The sequence below is a fragment of the Homo sapiens genome, chromosome 3 (genome assembly GCF_000001405.40).
Source record: "Homo sapiens chromosome 3, GRCh38.p14 Primary Assembly".
NCBI lineage: Eukaryota > Metazoa > Chordata > Mammalia > Primates > Hominidae > Homo > Homo sapiens.
The window spans coordinates 119,258,285-119,279,694 of record NC_000003.12 but is presented as its reverse complement, the minus strand read 5'-3'; the positions used below and the strand labels follow the sequence as shown (position 1 = coordinate 119,279,694).

Genomic DNA, 21,410 nt, shown 5'->3' with positions numbered 1-21,410 from the left:
TTATATTTTGTTGCCTCATTCTGCCCTGCTCCCCCTCTTGCTCTGTTTCGCACCCCTTTGGGAACGTTGCCTCTTTCTAGCTGAACCAGGGAAGGAGCAGAACCCTGAGCTCAGTCTGTCTCCCCCCAGGGTCTCTGAATACTGGAGCCAGCGATTTTCTTAGGTGGGTGGGGATCTGTCCCGCCCCGTTCATTGTGTTCCATGGTTTCCTGTCCACTGCCTGTAACCCTTTACCAATCTGCCAGGCGCCTCTTAACACAAAAGGGAGGAGATGGGGGAAGGGAGTACTGAGGAAAAACATCCCTATAAATAGCCCTCTTGAACAAAATTGTTTTCCCCAATACACAGTTGTTGTTAGGCCTTGATGCCTAGTAATCTGCCTCTGTACGCTCTTCCCCTTCCATTTCAGCCCTCCCTACAGGCCTGGTTTTCCTACTCAGTCCTGTCCATGAGATGGAGGTGCTGTAAAGGTTCTTGTAAACATTCGTGTCCCCAGAGGCTCCTCCCCAGCTCTGGGCACACAGACTGTGGACTCAGGCCAACCTGGGCTCCATGCCTGACTCTGCCACTGATTTGCCCAGTGGTTGGACACATGACTTAACTCCTCTGAGCCACAGTTTTCCCATCTGTTAAATTGGAGTGATAATATCTACCTTGTTAGACTGTTGTGAGGATTAAATAAGATAATGAAAATGCCTAGCACTTTGTTTATACCGAGGTAGAAGCTTGATACATAAATGAGAGTGATTTTTATTGTCTTCTCACTGAGCGATTCTTCCATTTCCTCCATCATTATCCAGTTTATTCATGTCTTTTTCACATTTCCTTATCCTGATCCCTTGTCCCATGTTAAATATATTTATAAGACTTTAAGTTTATTTTATTGTCATTAATTTATTTTTACCATTCCCAGTTCCAACATAGTTTGAGATGATTTCCTTTACACATAAGTGCTTAGAACCTGGAAAATTTTTCAGAAAGGGCAAGACTGTTTCTTGTAAAACAGTTTTTCTTTCTTTCTCTTTCTTTCTTTCTTTCTCTTTCTTTCTTTCTTTCTTTCTCTTTCTTTCTTTCTTTCTTTCTTTCTTTCTTTCTTTCTTTCTTTCTCTTTCTTTCTCTTTCTCCTTCCTTCCTTCCTTCTTTCTTTCTTTCTTTTTCTCTTTCTTTTTTTTGACGGAGTCTTGCTCTGTCACACAGGCTGGAGTGCAGTGGTGAGATCTCGGCTCACTGCAACCTCCGCCTCCCAGGTTCAAGCGATTCTCCTGCTTCAGCCTCCCGAGTAGCTGGGACTACAGGTGCGTGCCACTGCCCCCGGCTAATTTTTGTATTTTTAATACAGGCAGGGTTTCACCATGTTGGCCAGGCTGGTCTCGAACTCCTGACCTCAGGTGATCCACCCGCCTTGGCTTCCCAAAGTGCTGGGATTACATGCCCGAGCCACCGCATCCGGCCATAAAACAGTTTTCTAACACGGAGGGCACATTGCTTTTTGTGGGCTATTTGGGAAATGGTTTTGATTGTGGCTCACACTTTTCTTACATCTCTGGTATCCCAGGACCTGTTTTCATTCCCATCTCGGGAATACAGTATGCAGAAGTTAGTTTGGAGACAAGAGTTATAACAGGTCAAACATACAAATTACCCTCGATATATATTCGCTCCCCTAAAGTTGTGAACATTTGTAAGTTGGATAATATAGGCCTGTTGTTTTTCATTCTACCTTTTGGATATATGTTTCCAAGCTTGTGGTGGGGGGGTGGGTAGAAGTGGGGAGAAGGGGTTCCACTTTGTAATCAAAATCACACTTGAATCTTAACATTTATTTCAGAGAATATTCTTCTTTTTTCAACCTTCAATACACAAGTATTTTAATCTCCATTTTGATCTTAAAAGAAGCTAGTCAAATACACACAGATCTCATTTACTTATGTGCTTTCTCAAAGTAAGATGCATATGTATGCATGTAGGTATGTATATATCTATATCTATTTCTATATCTGCATAACTCACATTAATTTGATTTTGTGGAACCTGATTATTTAAAGCAGCCACAGGTTTCTGTTCTAATTCTAGGTATTTAGCAGAACTTTTCCTTATTTAAAAATTTTTTTTGAGACAGGGTCTGTCTCTGTCACCCAGTCTGGAGTGCAGTGGCACGATCTCGACTCACTGCAGCGTCCACCTCACAGGTTCAAGCAATTTTCGTGCCTCAGCCTCCCAAGTAGCTGGGGCCACAGGCCTGTGCCACCATACCTGGCTAATTTTTATATTTGTAGTAGAGACGGGGTTTCACCATGTTGGCCAGACTGGCCTCAACTCCTGACCTCAAGTGATCTGCCCGTCCTGGCCTCCCAAAGTCTTGGGATTACCAGCATGAGCCACTGTACCCGGCCAGGTATTTAGCAGAACTTTTTCAATTGGGTATCCACCTGGATGTTTTAAAAAATTTTCTATAATATTAACTTGCCTAGATTTACTCTTGAAAAGGATTCCCCCATACACCCACATTGCTCAGATAGTCCTGATTTCAAACATTCTGCCCTATAGTCAAACCATGTGCCAAAAGATGTGTTCTGATTTTCGCTTTAGAAAACATGGCTAATGTTTTGAGTTGAACTGTGTGCCACCAATTTCAAATGTTAAAGTCCTAACCCCTAGTACCTCAGAATATGACCTTATTTGGAAATAGGATGGGTACTACTAATTAGTTAATATGCAGTCAAACTGGAGTAGGGTGAGTCACGAATCCAGTATGGCCGGTGTCATTATAAAATGGGAAATGTGGACATCCTCCCTGTCTACTTACACAGGGAGAATGACATGTGAAGATGTGAAGATGAAGGCAGAGATTGGAGCGACGCCTCAAGCCAAGGAGTGTCAGACGTTGCCAGCAAGCCACCAGAAGCTAGGGAAGAGACATGGAACAGATTCTCTCTCATAGCCCTCAAAAGGAACCAACCCTGCTGGCACTTTGATCTCAGACTTCTAGCCTCCAGAAATGTGAGATGATAAATTTCTATTGTTTAAACCACCTGGTTTGTGACACTGGCAGCCCTAGCAGATGAATACAGCCAACATAATTAAGGAACAGAACTAGCCCCCAGTCCTGCAATGTAATCTATTACTTTAATGATCGAATTGGTAGCAGTCAAACCTCAGAAGTCTTTCTTGGTGGAGCCCCCAGTAAATACCTGTATCTCTAGCTGGCACTGAGATTAAGCAATTTTATACAAATGCTGGTTTCAGCAAGGAGCTCCAGTGGAGGTAAAGGAGGATAGTTTCGGAAACAGCCAAGGATTCACCTGACTATAGAGGTTGCTGGGAGGTGGGAGGTTGCGGGGCTCCTTCCCACATGCTTTCATGTTTTCAAAGACTGTTCTTGTAGCACCAGAGACAGGAAGCTCTGTGGAGCCACTCTATCAGCCCTGTAGCCTCCCTGAGCTGGCTTCTCTGGCTCTGGCTCCCTGATCCTCCATCCCCACCTATGCCTCTGCAAGGGACTCAGTGAAGGAGCTATCTCCCTGCTACATTCTGGGAGCTGAGCACTGAAATTTTTAAGGAAATGTGCAAAGTCTGTTTACATACAACATTTATACATTTATTTGGCCAGCCAGTCAATAATTTACTAAGCATTGTCTGTATGCTAGGCCTTGGATTCGGTGCTGAGGACACAAAGTTGGAAAGACACCATCCAGGCCCTCATGAAGCCCTCGTTTTTGTGGCAAGAGAGAGATGCACTGTGCAACAAATGGTATGATGGGTATATTGAAGTTGGAGTACCTGATTGGCTGGCAGAGTCAGAGGGCCTCTTAGAGAAAGTGACCCTTGTGGAGACTTGAAGAGTGAGTAGTTGCTCCTGCAGATAATAGGGGAGAGGGTTTTCAGGACAGCAAGAATAGCATTTCTAGAGTCACAGAGGCGTGTGAGATCAGGACTTGCTCAGGGACTGGAAAGCAAATCAATGCGGTTGGGTGTGAGAGAGATTGGTGATATACCGGCTTGTCCATAAGGTGGGACTGTGTGTGTGATACCATTGATAGAGTTGATCCTTTAGTGGGGAGCCACTGGAGAATTTTGAGCAGTGCAGGCTCAACTACATCTGGCAGCAATGTAGGAGGCTGGGGAGGAGGGCGGAAAGCTACGCATTCTTCCTTGGTGCCTTCCCTCTCACGTTAGCGGAAGGTTGAAATGCATCCTGGATAAAATGCCGAACTTCCAGAATGGGACTACTTAGGCTCACACCCTATCCCCATCACTGGCTTTACTCCCACAAAGTTATGAAACCTAGATATGAAATCAGATGGTATAGTAAGGAAATTTAATTTACCTGCATTCATACTGTATTTTGCGTGGAAAATAAATCAGATTAGGTTCTGGAAATGGTGGAGTTATAAGTTTAGCCTCTATTCCTAGAAATGATTTGTAAGACCATCATCACAAAGCTAATTTGCATGCCCCTTAAACTGTATACAAAATCTTGGCCTTTTACGAATTGGCTTGAATTATTAAAGTGCCCTAGCCTTCCAGAAGGGTCACTCCAGTAATGGTTAACATTTGAGATGTGGGTTTGCCATCTAGTGGGCATTTTTGAATGTGTATGTGTTTTAAATACACATGCATCACACACACACACACACACACACACACACACACACACACACACTCTCAGAGTTTCCATCAGTAGTTCCTAATCTTTCTACCTCATCCCCAGCACTTAAAGGTCAGGATGGTACTTTGGACACATCCGCATTTGTAAAAGTGACTTAGTTTACATGTGGGAGGTATGAGGATGTTTTATGATGTGGGAATACCAGCATCACATGGAGGGTCTCTTCAAACTTTGTGTACTTCACATCTGCCTTTCTTGCTCCCCTGTGGCAATTACTAATCTAGAAAAAAGAGAGAGAGATACTTCACCACTAGAAAGGCACAGTGACTGCTCCATAGCAGATACTCGGTAAAAATTAGCTTCCTTCCTCTTCTCCCTATGACTTCTCTCATAAAAGCTATATTCCAAATTACAGCTTTAATAGTTTTGTGTGCACTTGGTGTGTAAAGCACTTTGTAGGCCCAGTGAATGCAAAGATGAATAAAACCCAGTCCCTATTTCTAAGATGCTTAGAGGAGAGAAACTCGTAGTTTTACAACTATATTCTAGCAGGCTATGTCTCAAATCTTTGACTGTAGTAGATTTTTTAGAAATAAGAATTTGGTTTTTCTTTAGAAGTAATAATACAATGATGCTGGCCTAGCATGGTGGCTGATACCTGTAATCCTAGCACTTTGGAGGCTGAGGCAGGCAGATTGCCTGAGCTTAGGAGTTCGAGACCAGCCTGGGCAACATGGTGAAACCCCATCTCTATTAAAATACAAAAAATTATCCGGGAGTGGTGGCACACACCTGTAGTCCCAGCTACTCAGGAGGCTGAGGCACGAGAATTGCTTGAACCGGGGAGGCAGAGGTTGCAGTGAAGCAAGACTGCACCACTGCACTCCAGCCTGGGTGACAGAGTGAGACTCTGTCTCCAACAAAAACAAACAAACAATAATGCTAGTTTTCCCAGACTAAGAAGAAGCATCCTTGTGATAAGGGATAAAATGAACATCAGGGACAGCTTGATTTATATTTGAAAGGACCGAGACTTAGAAGACAATAGGCCCAGAAAGAGAAGGGAGAGAAGTGGGGAGTAGAGGAAACTAGAGACAGTGTGGGATGCATTCTGTAAAGGTTTGAAGATGGGGGGAGAGAGTTTTAGAAGCAGCTACCATATGGTGTGAGATATTGAGAGGTTGGGCAAGAAGATTTTAAGAGGTTTTGTTATGTATTATAAATGGAATCCCCCTTTGATGCTTTCATGGCACTGAAGTAAAAATTTAAATTGCCTTTCTGTTATTTTTGGATATGGGTTAGTGTTTCTTTGGAAAATAGTACCATGCAGAGACAGGCTATGAAGTGGCTTAGCTTTATCTGGAAAACATAAATGTTCAGACCATAAAACTTTAAAAATAGATACATTATACTTTCCTCATGTGCCTTAAACCTAAAATTAAACAAAACCAAAATGATGAAATTGTATAAGGAATGTCTATTTTAACAGTAATACATGTACTTGGTTAAAAAATTCAAAAGTATAGAATGGCATTAAATGGAAAAAGAAAAACGTTTCCTGCTTTATTCTCCAAACCTCCCTTTCACCCCCATGTCTCACCACCCAAAGGTAACTAGCTTCTAAAGAGTTTGTTTTTAATTCTTTTTTCCCCAATAAGAATTTTTATTATTATATATTTTTTAAATTTTACTTTAAGTTCTGGGATACAAGTGCAGAATGTGCAGGTTTGTTACATAGGTAGACATGTGCCATGGTGGTTGCTGCACCTATCATCTGGTCATCTAGGTTTTAAGCCCCGCATGCATTAGGTATTTGTCCTAATGCTCTCCCTCCCCTAGTCCCCCACCCCTCGATGGGCCCTGGTGTGTGATGTTCCCCTCCCTGTGTCCATGTGTTCTTATTGTTCAGCTCCCACTTATGAGTGGGAACATGGTTTTCTGTTCCTGTGTTAGTTTGCTGAAAATGATGGTTTCCAGCTTCATCCATGTCCCTGCAAAGGACATGAACTCATCCTTTTTTATGGCTGCATAGTATTCCATGTATATGTGCCACATAGTATTCCAGGTACATGTGCCACATACATATACACATGTATATGTGTATATGTGCCACATTTTTTTTATCCAGTCTATCATTGATGGGCATTTGGGTTGGTTCCAAGTCTTTGCTATTGTAAATATGCTGCAATAAACATACATGTGCATGTGTCTTTGTAGTAGAATGATTTATAATCCTTTGGTATATACCCAGTAATGGGATTGCTGGGTCAAATGGTATTTCTGGTTCTATATCCTTGAGGAATCGCCACACTGTCTTCCACAATGGCTGAACTAATTTACACTCCCACTAACAGTGTAAAAGCATTCCTATTTCTCCACAGCCTTGCCAGCATCTGTTGTTTCCTGACTTTTTAATAATCACCATTCTAACTGGTGTGAGACGGTATCTCATTGTGGTTTTGATTTGCATTTCTCTAATGACCAGTGATGATGAGCTGTTTTTCACGTTTGTTGGCCACGTAAATGTCTTCTTTTGAGAAGAGTCTGTTCATATCCTTTGCCCACTTTTTGATGGGGTTGTTTTCTTCTTGTAAATTTGTTTAAGTCCCTTTTAGATTCTGGATATTAGCCCTTTATGAGATGGGTAGCTTGCAAAATTTTTTTCCCATTCTGTAGGTTGCCTGTTCACTCTGATGATGGTTTCTTTTGCTGTACAGAAGTTCTTTAGTTTGATTAGATCCCATTTGTCAATTTTGGCTTTTGTTGCAATTGCTTTTGGTGTTTTAGTCATAAAGTCTTTGCCCATGCCTATGACCTGAATGGTATTGCCTAGGTTTTCTTCTAGGGTTTTTATAATTTTTGGTTTTCTGTTTAAGTCTTTAATCCATCTTGAGTTAATTTTTGTATGAGGTGTAAGGAAGGGTAAGGTGTAAGGAAGTTTCTGTTTCTGCATATGGCTAGCCAGTTTTGCCAGCACCATTCATTAAATAGGGAATCCTTTCCCAGTTGTTTGTGTGTGTCAGATTTGTCAAAGATCAGATGGTTGTAGATGTGTGGTGTTATCTCTGAGGTCTTTGTTCTGTTCCATTGGTCTATATATCTGTTTTGGTACCAGTAGCATGCTGTTTTGGTTACTGTAGCTTTGTAGTACAGTTTGAAATCAGGTAGCGTGATGCCTCCAGCTTTGTTCTTTTTGCTTAGGATTGTCTTGGCTATATGGGCTCTTTTTTGGTTCCAAATGACATTTAAAGTGTTTTTTTTTTCTAATTCTGTGAAGAAAGTCAATGGTAGCTTTACGGGAATAGCATTGAATCTATAAATTACTTTGGGCAGGATGGCCATTTTCATGATATTGATTCTTCCTATCCATTAGCATGGAATTTTTTTCCATTTGTGCCCTCTCTTATTTCCTTGAGCAGTGGTTTGTAGTTCTTCTTGAAGAGGTCCTTCACATCCCTTGTAAGTTGTGTTCCTAGGTATTTTATTCTCTTTGTAGCAATTGTGAATGGGAGTTCACTCATGATTTGGCTCTCTGTTTGTCTGTTATTGGTGTATAGGAATGCTTGTGATTTTTGCACATTGATTTTGTATCTTGAGACTTTGCTGAAGTTGCTTATCAGCTTAAGGAGTTTTTGGGCTGAAACAATGGGGTTTTCTAAATACACAATCACATCATCTGCAAACAGAGACAATTTGACTTCCTCTCTTCCTATTTGAATACGCTTTATTTCTTTCTCTTGCCTGATTGCCCTGGACAGAGCTTCCAATACTATGTTTAATAGGAGTGGTGAGAGAGGGCATCCTTGTCTTGTGCCGATTTTCAAAGGGAATGCTTTCAGCTTTTGCCTATTCAGTATGATGTTGGCTATGGGTTTGTCATAAATAGCTCTTATTATTTTGAGATACATTCAATCAATACCTAGTTTATTGAGTGTTTTTAGCATGAAGGGGTGTTGAATTTTATTGAAGGCCTTTTTGGCATCTATTGAGATAATCATGTGGGTTTTGTCATTGGTTCTGTTTATGTGATGGATTACATTTATTGATTTGCATATGTTGAACCAGCCTTGCATCCCAGGATGAAGCTGACTTGATCGTGGGGGATAAGCTTTTTGATGTGCTGCTGGATTCAGTTTGCCAATATTTTATTGAAGATTTTCGCATCAATATTCATCAGGGATATTGGCCTGAAATTTTTTTTGTTGTGTCTCTGCCAGGTTTTCGTATCAGGATGATGCTGGCTTCATAAAATGAGTTAGGGAGGAGTCCCTCTTTTTCATTGTTTGGAGTAGTTTCAGAACGAATGGTACCAACTATTCTTCGTACCTCTGGTAGAATTTGGCTGTGAATCCGTCTGGTCCTGGGCTTTTTTTTTTTTGGTTTGTAGGCTATTAATTACTGCCTTAATTTCAGAACTTGTTATTGGTCTATTCAGGGATTTGACTTCTTCCTGGTTTAGTCTTGGGAGGTGTATGTGTCCAGGAATTTATCAATTTCTTGTAGATTTTCTAGTTTATTTGCATAGACGTGTTTATAGTATTCTCTGATGGTAGCTTGTATTTCTTTGGGATTGGTGGTGATATCCCCTTTATCATTTTTTATTGTGCCTATTTGATTTTTCTCTCTTTTCTTCTTTATTAGTCTAGCTAGTGGTCTATCTATTTTGCTGACCTTTTCAAAAAACCAGCTCCTGGATTCATTGATTTTATGAAGGGTTTTTCATGTCTCTTTCTCCTTCAATTCTGCTCTGATGTCAGTTATTTCTTGTCTTGTGCTAGCTTTGAATTTGTTTGCTCTTGCTTCTCTAGTTCTTTTAATTGTGATGTTAGGGTGTCGATTTTACATCTTTCCACTTCCTCCTGTGGGCATTTAGTGCTATAAATTTCCCTCTAAACACTGCTTTAGCTGTATCCCAGAGATGCTGGTACGTTTGTTTTTGTTCTCATTGGTTTCAAAGAACTTCTTTATTTGTGCCTTAATTTTGTTATTTACCTAGTAGTCATTGTGGAGCAGGTTGTTCAGTTTCCACGTAGTTGTGCAGTTTTGAGTGAGTTTCTTAATCCTGAGTTCTAATTTGGTTGCACTGTGGTCTGAGAGACAGTTTGTTATGATTTCTGTTCTTTTGCATTTGCTGAGGAGTGTTTTACTTCCAATTATGTGGTTGATTTTAGAATAAGTTATGTGCTGCTGAGAAGAATGTATATTCTGTTGATTTGGGGTGGAGAGTTCTGTAGATGTCTATTATTTCTGCTTGGTCCAGAGCTGAGTTCAAGTCCTGAATATCCTTGTTAATTTTCTGTCTTGTTGATGTGTCTAATATTAGCAGAGGGGTGTTAAAGTCTCCCACTATTATTGTGTGGGAGTCTAAGTCTCTTTGTAGGTCTCTAAGAACTTGTTTTATGAATCTGGGTGCTCCTGTATTGGCTGCATATATATTTAGGATAGTTAGCTCTTCTTGTTGAATTGATCCCTTTACCATTATGTAATTCCTTTCTTTGTCTTTTTTGATCCTTGTTTGTTTAAAGTCTATTTTATCAGAGACTAGGATTGCAACTGCTGCTTTTTTTTTGTTTTGCTTTCCATTTGCTTGATAAATGTTTCTGCATCCCTTTATTTTAAGCCTATGTGTGTCTTTGCACATGAGATGTGTCTCCTGAATACAGCACACTGATGGCTCTTGACTCTTTATCCAATTTGCCTGTCTGTGTCTTTTAATTGGGGCATTTAGTCCATTTACATTTAAGGTTAATATTGTTATGTGTGAATTTGATCCTGTTATCAAGATGGTAGCTGGTTATTTTGCACATTAGATGATGCAGTTTCTTCATGGTGTCATTGGTCTTTATATTTTGCTGTGTTTTTGCAGTGGCTGGTACAGGATTTTCCTTTCCATATTTAGTGCTTCCTTCAGGAGCTCTTGTAAGGCAGGCCTGGTGGTGACAAAATCCCTCAGCATTTGCTTGTCTGTAAAGGATTTTAATTCTCCTTCGCTTATGAAGCTTAGTTTGGCTGGATATGAAATTCTGGGTTGAAAGTTTCTTTCTTTAAGAATGTTGAATATTGGCGCCCACTCTCTTCTGGCTTGTAGGGTTTCTGCAGAGAGATCTGCTGTTAGTCTAATGGGCTTCCCTTTGTAGGTAACCTGACCTTTCTCTCTGGCTGCCCTTAACATTTTTTCCTTCGTTACAACCTTGGAGAATCTAATGATTATGTGTCTTGGGGTTGCTCTTCTCAAGGAGTATCTTAGTGGTATTCTCTGTTTTTCCTGAATTTGAATGTTGGCCTGTCTTGCTAGGTTGGGGAAGTTCTCCTGGATAATATCCTGAAGTGTGCTTTCCAACTTGGTTCCAATCTCCCTGTCACTTTCAGGTATACCTATCAGTCATACGTTTAGTCTTTTCACATAGTCCCATATTTTTGGAGGCTTTGTTTGTTCCTTTCTTTTTTCTCTAATCTTGTTTTCATGCCTTATTTCATTAAGTTGATCTTCAGTCTCTGATATCCTTTCTTCTGCTTGATTGATTTGGCTATTGATAACTTGTGTATGCTTCATGAAGTTCTCATGCTGTGTTTTTCAGCTCCATCAAGTCATTTATGTTCTTCTCTAAACTGGTTATTTTAGCTAGCAGTTCCTGTAACCTTTTATCAAGGTTCTTAGCTTCCTTGCATTGGGTTAGAACATGCTGCTTTACCGCAGAGAAGTTTGTTATTACCCACCTTCTGAAGCCTACTTCTGTCGATTCATCAAACTCATTCTTAGTCCAGTTTTGTGCCCTTGCTGGAGAGGGGTTGCAATCATTTGGAAGAGAAGAAGCATTCTGGGTTTTGGGATTTTCAGCATTTTTTGTGCTGCTTTTTCCTCATCTTTGTGGATTTATCTACCTTTGTTCTTTGAGGCTGATGACCTTTTGGTGGGGTTTTTGTGTGGCTGTCCTTTTTGTTGATGTTGATGTTATTACTTTCTGTTTGTTAGTTTTTCTTCTAACAGTCAGGCCCCTCTTCTACAGGTGTGCTGCAGTTTGCTGGGGGTCCACTCCAGACCCTGTTTGCCTAGGTATCACCAGCGGAGGCTGCTGAACAGCAAAGATTGTTGCCTGATCCTTAATCTGGAAGTTTCATCCCAGAGGGGCACCAGCCTGATGCCAGCCAGAGTTCTCCTGTATGATGTGCCTGTCAACCCCTGCTGGGAGCTCTCTCCCAGTCAGGAGGCACAGGGGTCAGAGACCCACCTGAGGAGGCAGTCTGTCTCTTAGCAGAGCTGGTGTGCTGTGCTGGGAGAATCCCTTTTCTTAGGATCAGCTGGTCTCTTCAGAGCTGGCAAGCAAGAATGATTAAATCTGCTGAAAGTGCGCCCACAGCACCCCTTTCCCCAGGTGCTCTGTCCCAGGGAGATGGGAGTTTTATCTCCAAGCTCCTGACTGGGGCTGCTGCCTTTCTTTCAGAGATGCCCTGCACAGTGAGGAGGAATCTAGGGAGGTAGTCTGGACACAGCCGCTTTGCTGTGCTGTGGTGAGTTCCTCCCAGTCTGAACTTCTGGGCCTCCTTAGCACTGTCAGGGCAAAACCGCCTACTCAAGCCTCAGTAGTGGTGGATGCCCCGCCCCCACCTGCGATTGTCCCAGGTCAAGTTCAGACTGCTGTGCTGGCAGCGAGAATTTCAAGCCGGTGGTTCTTAGCTTGGTGGGCTCTGTGGGAGTTGGACCCACTGAGCGAGACCACTTGGCTCCCTAGCTTCAGCCCCTTTTCTAGGGGAGTGAACGGTTCTGTCTTGCTGGGGTTCCAGGTGGTACAACTCCTGCAGCTACCTTGATGCCTGCCCAAACAGCCGCCCAGTCTTGTGCTTGAAACCCGGGGCCCTGGTGGTGTAGGCACATGAGGGAATCTTCTGGTCTGCAGGTCGCAAAAACCTTGGGAAAAGCATAGTACATGGGCTGGATAGCACAGTCCCTCATGGCTTTCTTTGGCTGGAGGAGGGAGGCCCCCCAGCTCCTTGCACTTCCCTGGTGAGGCGACACTTGAACCTGCTTCTGCTCGCCCTCCATGTGCTGCACCTACTGCCTAATCAGTGCCATAATTTGTTTAAGTGGGCCTACTGATGGCCGTTAGTCAGTTTCTGATTTTGCTATGACAAATTGATGCTTCATTGACTATCCATAGACACATATGCTTGAATATCTGTAGAAAAAAAAATCTACAGAAGAATTGTTGGGTCAGAGGCAATGTACATTATTTTACTTTATTTTTATTTATTTATTTTAATTTTTAATTTTTGTGGGTATATATAATAGGTATATATATTTATGGGGTGCGGTGTGCATTTTTTTTTTGAGACAGAGTTTTGCTCTTGTCACCCAGGCTGGAGTGCAATGGGACGATCTTGGCTCACTGCAACCTCTGCCTCCCGGGTTCAAGCAATTCTCCTGCTTCAGCCTCCCAAGTAGCTCGGATTACAGGTGCATGCCACCACGCCTGGCTAATTTTTTTTTTGTATTTTTACTAGAGACAGAGTTTCACCATGTTGGCCAGGCTGGTCTTGAACTCCTGACCTCAGGTGATCTGCCCACCTTGGCTTCCCAAAGTGCTGGGATTACAGGCATGAGCCACCATACCCAGCCACAATGTGCTTTTTAAAAGTTTAATAATATTGACAAATTGTCCTTGACAAAAGTTAAACTAATTTACATTCTCACTAGCTGTCTAAAAGATTGCCTGTTGTTCCACACCAACATCAATACAAGTTTAAAAAAATCTGTGTCTCTGATTCTCTCAGTGTAGTTTTAACTGACGTTTGAATTGTATTAATTTTAGTAGAAAAGAGAGTGAGCTTCTTTTCATAAAATAAAGATGTTTTTACATTTCCTTATCTGTGATTATCCCTTCAGATATTTTGCCCATTTTACTACTGGTTAATTGATCTTTCTTGCTGACTTCATGCTATTGTAAGTGCCAATATGTAGAAATTCAATTTGCTTTTTTATATTGATCTTGTTCCATCAATCTCACTAACCTTACTTATTAGTACTAGTAGCTTTTTTGTGTACACTGTTGGAATTTCTACAGAGACAATGGTGCCATCAATTAATACAGTTTTTCTCTTCCTTTCTAATCAGGATTCTTCTAATTTTTTTAAAACTATGGTTTTATATGGATTTTCTTTTTAGTTTACAAATATGATGAATGACATTTATTGATTTGTGGGTATTAAACCAATACTTATTCCTGGAATGGATCTTACCTAGTCGTGATGTATTATTCTTTTTATACATTGTTGGATTTGTTACAATTGTCTTTAGAAATTTTGCACCTATGTATAATGTTGGATAGAAGTAGTGACAGAAGACATCCCTGTCTTGTTAATGATCTTAGTACAAAAGCAGTCTTTCATCATTCAGTATGATGTTAGTTACAGATTTTTATAAGTGCCTTTTATCAGGTTGAGGAAGTTCTCTCACATTCCTAATTTGCTGAGAATTTTTATCAGAAAAAGGAAATTGGATTTTGTGAAATACATTTTCTATATCTATTTAGATGATCATATGATTTTTTGTTTGTTTATATAATGAATTACATTGAATAAATTTTGAGTGTTAAACTAATCCTGCATTTTTGAGATGAACCCCACTTGGTCATGCTTTGTAGTATCCTTTTTATAGTATTGGATTCAATCTACTAAATTTTTGTTTTGAATTTTTATATGTATGTACAAGAAAGATATTGGTCTTTAGTTTTCATTTCTTATAATGTTTTTGACTGGCTTTGGTATCAGGATAATGTTGGGCTCAGAGTGAGTTGGGAAGTATTTTCTTCTCTTTAACTTTTTTGGAAAAGTTTGTGTAAAATTAGTATTATTTCTTCTTTTAAAATTTATTTTTATTTTTACTTTCTTAGAGATAGAGTCTTGCTCTGCTGCCCAGGCTGGAGTGCAGTGGTGCAATCATAGCTCACTATAACCTTGAACTCCTGGACTCAAGCCATCCTTCCACTTCAACTTCCCAAATTCCGGGAACCACAGGTGTAAGACACCATGCCTGGGTATTTCTTCTTTAACTGTTTGTGGAATTCACTAGCTATCTGGGACCTGGAGTTTTCTTTGTGGGAAGGCTTTTACCTATAATTTAAATTTCCTTAAGAGAGATATAGAGCTGTTTAGGTTGTCTATTTCTTCTTCCTCATCTTCTTCTCTTCTTTTTTTTTTTTTTTTTTTCTGAGACAGAGTCTCACTCTGTTGCCCAGGCTGGAATACAGTGGCATGATCTCAATCTCAGCTCACTGCAACCTCCGCCTCCCAGGTTCAAGCAATTTTCCTGTCTCAGCCTCTTGAATAGCTGGGATTACAGGCGCGTGCCACCACGCCTGGCTAGTTTTTGTATTTTTATTAGAGATGGGATTTCGCCATGTTGGCCAGGCTGGACTCAAACTCCTGACCTCAGGCGATCCACCTGCCTCAGCCTCCCAAAGTGCTGGGATTACAGGCATGAGCCACCGTGCTCAGCCTATTTCTTCTTGAGTGAACTTCAATAATTTATATCTTTCAAGAATGTGTCCATTTTATCCAAATTATGGAATTCACTGGCATAAAATTATTCATAATTCTCTTATCTTTTTAGTATCTGTAGAAGCTATAGTGATGTTGCTTCTCTCATTCCTGATATGAGTAATTTGTGTATTTTCTCTTTTGTCCTGATCAGTCCTTTAAGAGCTTAATATATTTATTGATCCTCTCAAGAACCAGATTTTCTCTTCTCTTTTCTTCTCCTCTCTTCTCTTCTTTTTGAGATAGGATCTGGCTCTTTTGCCCAGACTGGAGTGCAGTGGTATGATCTCGGCTCACTGCAACCTCCAACTTCTGGATTCAAGCCATCCTCCCACCTCAGCCTCTTGAGTAGCTGGGACTACAGGTGTGCACCACCACACCCAACTAATTTTTGTATTTTTTGTAGACACAGGGTTTCACAATGTTGCCTAAGTTGGTCTCGAACTCCTGCGCTCAAGCAATCTGCCTGCTTTGGCCTCCCAAAATGTTGGGATTACAGGCATGAGCCACCGTGCCCTGCCTTTTTTGATTTCTTCTATTGAGTTTCTCTTTTCTATTTCATTAATTTCTACTTTGATCTTTATTACTTCCTTCCTTCTGCTTACTTCATGTCTAATTTGGTCTTCTCTTTCTAATTTTGTATAGTAGACACTGAGATCATTGCTTTGAGAACTTTTTTCTTTTCTAACATAGACATTTAATGCTATAAATTTTCTCTTAGAGACTGCTTTAGTGGCATCTACAATTTCTGATATATTGTGTTTTCACTTTCATTCAGTTCAAAATATTTTTTGATTTCTCTTTTGAGTTCTTTCATCTCTGGGTTACTTAGAAGGGTGTTGTTTTGTTGTTAAATATTTGTGGATTTTCCAAAGATATTTCTATTATTGATTTCTAATTTAATTCCTCTGTGGTCAGAGGATATACTTTGTAAAACTTTAATTCCTTTGAATTTATTGAATCTTGTTTTGTAACCCAGAAGAGTTCTCTGTGCACTTGAGAAAAGTGTGTATTCTGCTATTTCTGGGTACAGTATTATAAAATTGTCAATCAGGTCAAGTGTTAATAGTATTGTTCAAATCTTCTATAATCTCACTTATTTTCTTTATACTTACTCTAGCAACTATTGAAATAGGTATGTTGAAATCTCTAACTATAATTGTGCATTTGTCTATTTCCTTGTGTAGTTCTAATAGTTTTTACTTTATGTATATTGAAGCTTTGTTATTAGGCTCATAAGTGTCTAGGATTATTATTTCCTCTTGATAAATTTACCTCTTATCATTATAAAATGATTTTTATCCTTGACAATATTGTTTGCTCTGCAATTTATTTTGTCTGATTTTAAAGTAGCCTGTCTTGTTTCTTTTGACTAGTGTTAGCATTGTATAGCCCTTTCCATTCTTTTAATCTATTTATTATATTACTTTTATATTTATAGTATGCTTTTGTAGGCAGCATACAGTTGGGTCTTTTTTAATCTAATCTGACAATCTCTGCCTTTTAATCAGGGTGTTTACACTATTTACATTAATTTGATTATTAATGTTAGGTTTGACATGTCATCCTGCTATTTGTTTTCTATTTGTCCCATCTGTTATTTGTTCCAGTTTTTCTCTTTTGCTACCTTCTTTTGAACTAATCAATTTTTAAATGATTTTGTTTTATCCCTTTCATTGCCACATTAGCTATAATTATTTATTTTGTTTTTTTTAGTGGTGCTCAAGGGTTTATAGTATATAGGCATATATCATTTTATTGCACTTTGCTTTATTGCATGTCACAGATATTGTGGTTTTTTTTTTATTTTTTTGAGACCAAGTCTTGCTCTGTTGCCCAGGCTGGAGTGCAATGGTGTGATCTTGGCTCACTGCAACCTCTGCCTGCCGGGTTCAAGTGATTCTCCTGCCTCAGCCTCCCGAGTAGGAGTAGCTGGGATTACAGGTGCCTGCCATCACACCCGGCTAATTTTTGTATTTTTAGTAGAGACAGGGTTTCTCCATGTTGGCCAGGCTGGTCTTGAACTCCTGACCTCAGGTGATCTGCCCTCCTCGGCCTCCCAAAGTGTGCTGGGATTACAGACATGAGCCACTGTGCTTATCCGATACTGTGTTTTTTGTTTTTGTTTGTGGTAAACCTGTACCAAGCAAATTTATTGGCACCATTTTCCCTACAGCATGTGCTCAGCTCACTCCACTAGCATTTTTAGCAATAAAGTATTTTAAAATTAAGGTATGTACATTGTTTCATTAGACATAATGCTATTGCACGCTTAACAGACTATGGTATAGTATAAACATACCTTTTCATATGCACTGAAAAACAAAAGAAATTGTGTGACATACTTTATTGCAATATTTGCTTTATTGCAGTGGTCTGGAACTGAATCTGCAGTATGTCTGAGGTATGCCTGTACATGTTTATCTATCACAGTCTACCTTAAAGTTGTATTATACTCACATTGTGTAAAACCTTCCCATGTAGTATAGGAATCTTACAATAGTATACTTCCATTTCTTCTCTTTTGGCATGTATGTTATTGTTGTCATGGATCTTTTCATCTCTACAAGTTCAATTTGGGTTTTTCTTTACACTTAAATGTTTCTAACTTTTTGAATATATGAAATACAATGAAATTAACTGTCTTACTGTCCTCTGTGAATTCTAACATCTACGTCAGCTCTGGGTTGCTTTCAATTGATTATTGTCTTCACTATTGATTATGTTTTCCTGTCTCTTTGTGTGCCTGGTAATCTTTGAATGCTAGATATTGTGAATTTTATCTTGTGTGCTAGATATTATTGCATTTATATAAATCTTCTTGAGCTTTGTTCTGGGAGACACTTAAATTACTTGGATAAAGTTTTATCCTTTTGGGTCTTTTTTTTTTTTTTTTTTTTTTTAGACAGAGTCTCACTCTGTCACCCAGACTGGAGTGCAGTGGCACGATCTTGGCTCACTGCAAGCTCCGCCTCAGCCACCCAAGTAGCTGAGACTACAGGCATGTGCCACCACGCCTGGCTAATTTTTTGTATTTTTAGTAGAGACGGGGTTTCACCATGTTAGCCAGGATGGTCTCGATCTCCTGACCTTGTGATCCGCCCGCCTTGGCCTCCCAAAGTGCTGAGATTACAGGCGTGAGCCACCGCACCCAGCCTCTTTTGGGCCTTGTTTTGATACTATGTTAGGCAGGTCTGGACTATTGCTCAGCGTAGGGATTATTCTTCTTTGTTACTGAGGCAAGACTATCCTCAGTACTCCACCTAATGCCTTGTCAATTATGAGTTTTTCCTGTCTAGTTCCTGGAAGCACATTATCCTCAGGCCAGTGTGAGTGACAGGAACTGTTCCCACTAATCTTTACATATGTATATTTCCTGGCCTGGGGTGTTTTCCTTACATGCAGGCATTGATCTTGCATATTTGGGGGCGACTCCCTGAAGATCTCCAGGATTCTGTCTGTGTGCATCTGTCTTATCTCTGGTATTCTGTCCTATGAACTGTAGCTGCCTAGGTCTCTTGGACTCCAGGGTTTGTCTCTTCAATTCAGGGAGTCTGCTAGGCTCTGCCTCAATTTTCCCTCCCTCTGTCACAGTTTGGAAACTCCTTTGAGGTAGTAAGATGAAGCAACTGTAGGACTCAACTTGTTTGTTTCCTGTCTCTCAGAAATCAGTGTTCTTTGTTGCCTGATATCAAATGTTTTGAACATTGTTTTATATGCTTTGTCTGTTTTTTTTTTTTTTTTTTTAGATGCTTCAGGTGGGATGGTAAATCTGTTTCCTGCTACTTCATCATGGCCAGAAGGGGAAGTCTAGTCATCGCTTTTTCTCTTTGAGATTGAATATTTTCTCTTTTTCATTTCAGCTTTTTATTTTGAAAAGTTTCAAGTCTTTGAAAAGTTGTAAAAATTATCAAGGAATGCCTGTATGCATTTTCTCTAGATTCACCAATCGTTAACATTTTTCTATGTTTGTGTGCTCTCTCTCTATCCCTCTCCTCCCCATTTCTCTCTTTCTCTCTTTCACACACATTAGCTAAATCATTTGAGAGTAAATTGCAGACATTATGATATTTCATCATTAAATAACTCTTAAGAACAAAGTAATTTTCCTATATAACCACAATATAATGATGAATTTCAGGAAATTTAACATCGAGAGAATATTATCTAATATATATCTAATATATGTTCTGCTTTGATTGTCTATTGCTGTGTATCAGATGATCTCAAAACTTAGAGGATTAAAACAACTTACTATTCCTGTATCATGATTCTGCAGGTCAGGGGAATTCAGATATGGCACCCTGGGAAGGGCTCTTCTCCACTGTATGATGGCTGCAACCTTAGCTGTGGTGACTCAGTGGCTGGGGGCTGGAATCGCTGGGAGGTGGCTGAATATCTTTTTTTTTTTTTTCCACATGGCTTCTCCACCTGGCTAGTTTGGGCTTTCCACAGCACGGCACCTTCAGGATAGTGGAACTTCCAACATGGTGGCTCAAGGTTCCAAGCATGAATGCTTCTAGGGGTCATTAATAATACAAATTGGCATCCCACACAAGGTGATGCTCTGAGGGCATAACATTACCTTTATCATATTCTTGCCCAAAATACGTAATTGGTATTTAATCATGAGAAACAATCAGATGAGTCAAAATTAGGAAACATTCTATGAAACACCTGACCTGTATACTTTAAAAATGTCAGTGTCCTTAAAGACGAGGAAAATGACAAACTGTTTCAGATTAAACGAGACTGTATCTATGTGCTAGTGTGTTGGCATAACAAAATGCCACAGACTGGGTGGCTTAAACAACAGATATTTATTTTCTGACAAATTTGGAAGCTGGAAGTCCAAGTTGAAGACATCAACAGGTTTGGTTTCTTCCATACTCTTTCCTCCACTTGCAGGCAGCCACCCTCTTGCTGAGGTCCTCACACAGCCATGTGGTCATCCCTCTGTGTTATCTGTGTCCTAATCTCCTCCTCTTATAAAGTCACCAGTCATGCTGGATTAAGGCTCATATTTATGACCCGATTTTAACTTAATTACCTTTATAAAGACCCGGTCTTAAAGTTTAGTCACATTCTGAGGTACTAGGTGTTAGTTAGAGCTTCAGCATGAATTGTGGGGGCCGGGAACAGCAGATGAGGGACACAATTCAGAATTCAGCCCGTGACAGAGACTAAAGGGACTTCTTTATGTGTGGTCCTGGATTGGAAATAAAGTTGCTATAAAGTATATTATCAAGGAAATTGGAAATGAATATGTACAGTATGGTAGATTTAAAATAGCCTCAATTTTTTGGCATTCCTTTCACTCAGGAATGGGGGTATATTTCCCCTCCTTTTAAATCTTGACTGGTCTGTGACTGATTTGACAAATGGAGTAGAGTGGAAGTGAAGCTATGCCAGTTCTGAGCCCAGCCTTTACAAGGCTGATTCTGCTTCCTCTTTCACTATACATTTGTCAAACAGTCACAGACTACCGGCCAAGATTTAAAGGGAAGGGAAATCTGTCCCCATTCCTCAGTGAGAGGAATGTTAAATAATTTGAGGCTGTTTTTAATCTACCACACAGTATGTAGTTATTTCCAGTTCTCAATAATGTACTTTATAATAACTTTTTTTTTCCAAATCCAAGACCAGGTATCAAATTTAGATGTAAAATCTCCTTAGTCTCCTGTAATCTGAAACTGTTCCTCATGTTTCCATGTCTTTTATGACACTGACATTTTTGAAGTGTATGGGATAGTTGTTTCATAGAATGTTCCTTAATTTGAGCTTGTCTGTTTCCTCATTAAAGGTATGCATTTTTGGCAGGAGTACAATAAAATAATGTTATATCCTCAAAGTATCATCTCATGTGTGATGTGATGTCAATTTCTACTTTGGGTGAAATTAACTTTAGTGCTTGGTTAAGGTGGTATCTGCCAGTTTTCTCTGAAGGAAAGGTCCCTGTTTCCCTTTGTGATTGGTAAGTAATCTCTAGGGAAATATTTTTTTTCTTTAAAAATTTCAAGAAAAAAAAAAGCTCTTCTGTATTCTGTGCCAGGCAATTCCAATATCTGTTGTCTGTTAAATTAAATTTGGCCTTGAGGCTGTCTTTATATTTTGAATCTTTTTGGAAAATGAAAAGAGAAAGCTCGTTTTAAAAAAGAAAAGAACAACAACCAAAACATATTTTGAGTCCTTGCATAACAAACTGCAACCTAATTTAGTATGTAAACAAACTGAAACCTAACTTAGAAGCACATTTTTCATATAAGAT

The 21,410-nt window shown here is 39.7% G+C and overlaps 1 long non-coding RNA gene across 1 annotated transcript in view, besides 1 other annotated feature; it reads right to left on the bottom strand.

Moving 5' to 3' along the window:
• The window catches only part of B4GALT4-AS1 (B4GALT4 antisense RNA 1), a 64,181-nt gene that overhangs the window by 10,972 nt on the left and 31,799 nt on the right, over nt 1-21,410 (bottom strand). The window lies entirely within an intron of this gene.
• Nucleotides 4,482-4,651: an enhancer, noted in NCBI's record as "active region_20294". NCBI's record gives its function as "activates an Ori minimal core promoter by ATAC-STARR-seq in GM12878 lymphoblastoid cells {active_cell/tissue: GM12878}" and the evidence as "EXISTENCE:reporter gene assay evidence [ECO:0000049][PMID:35858748]".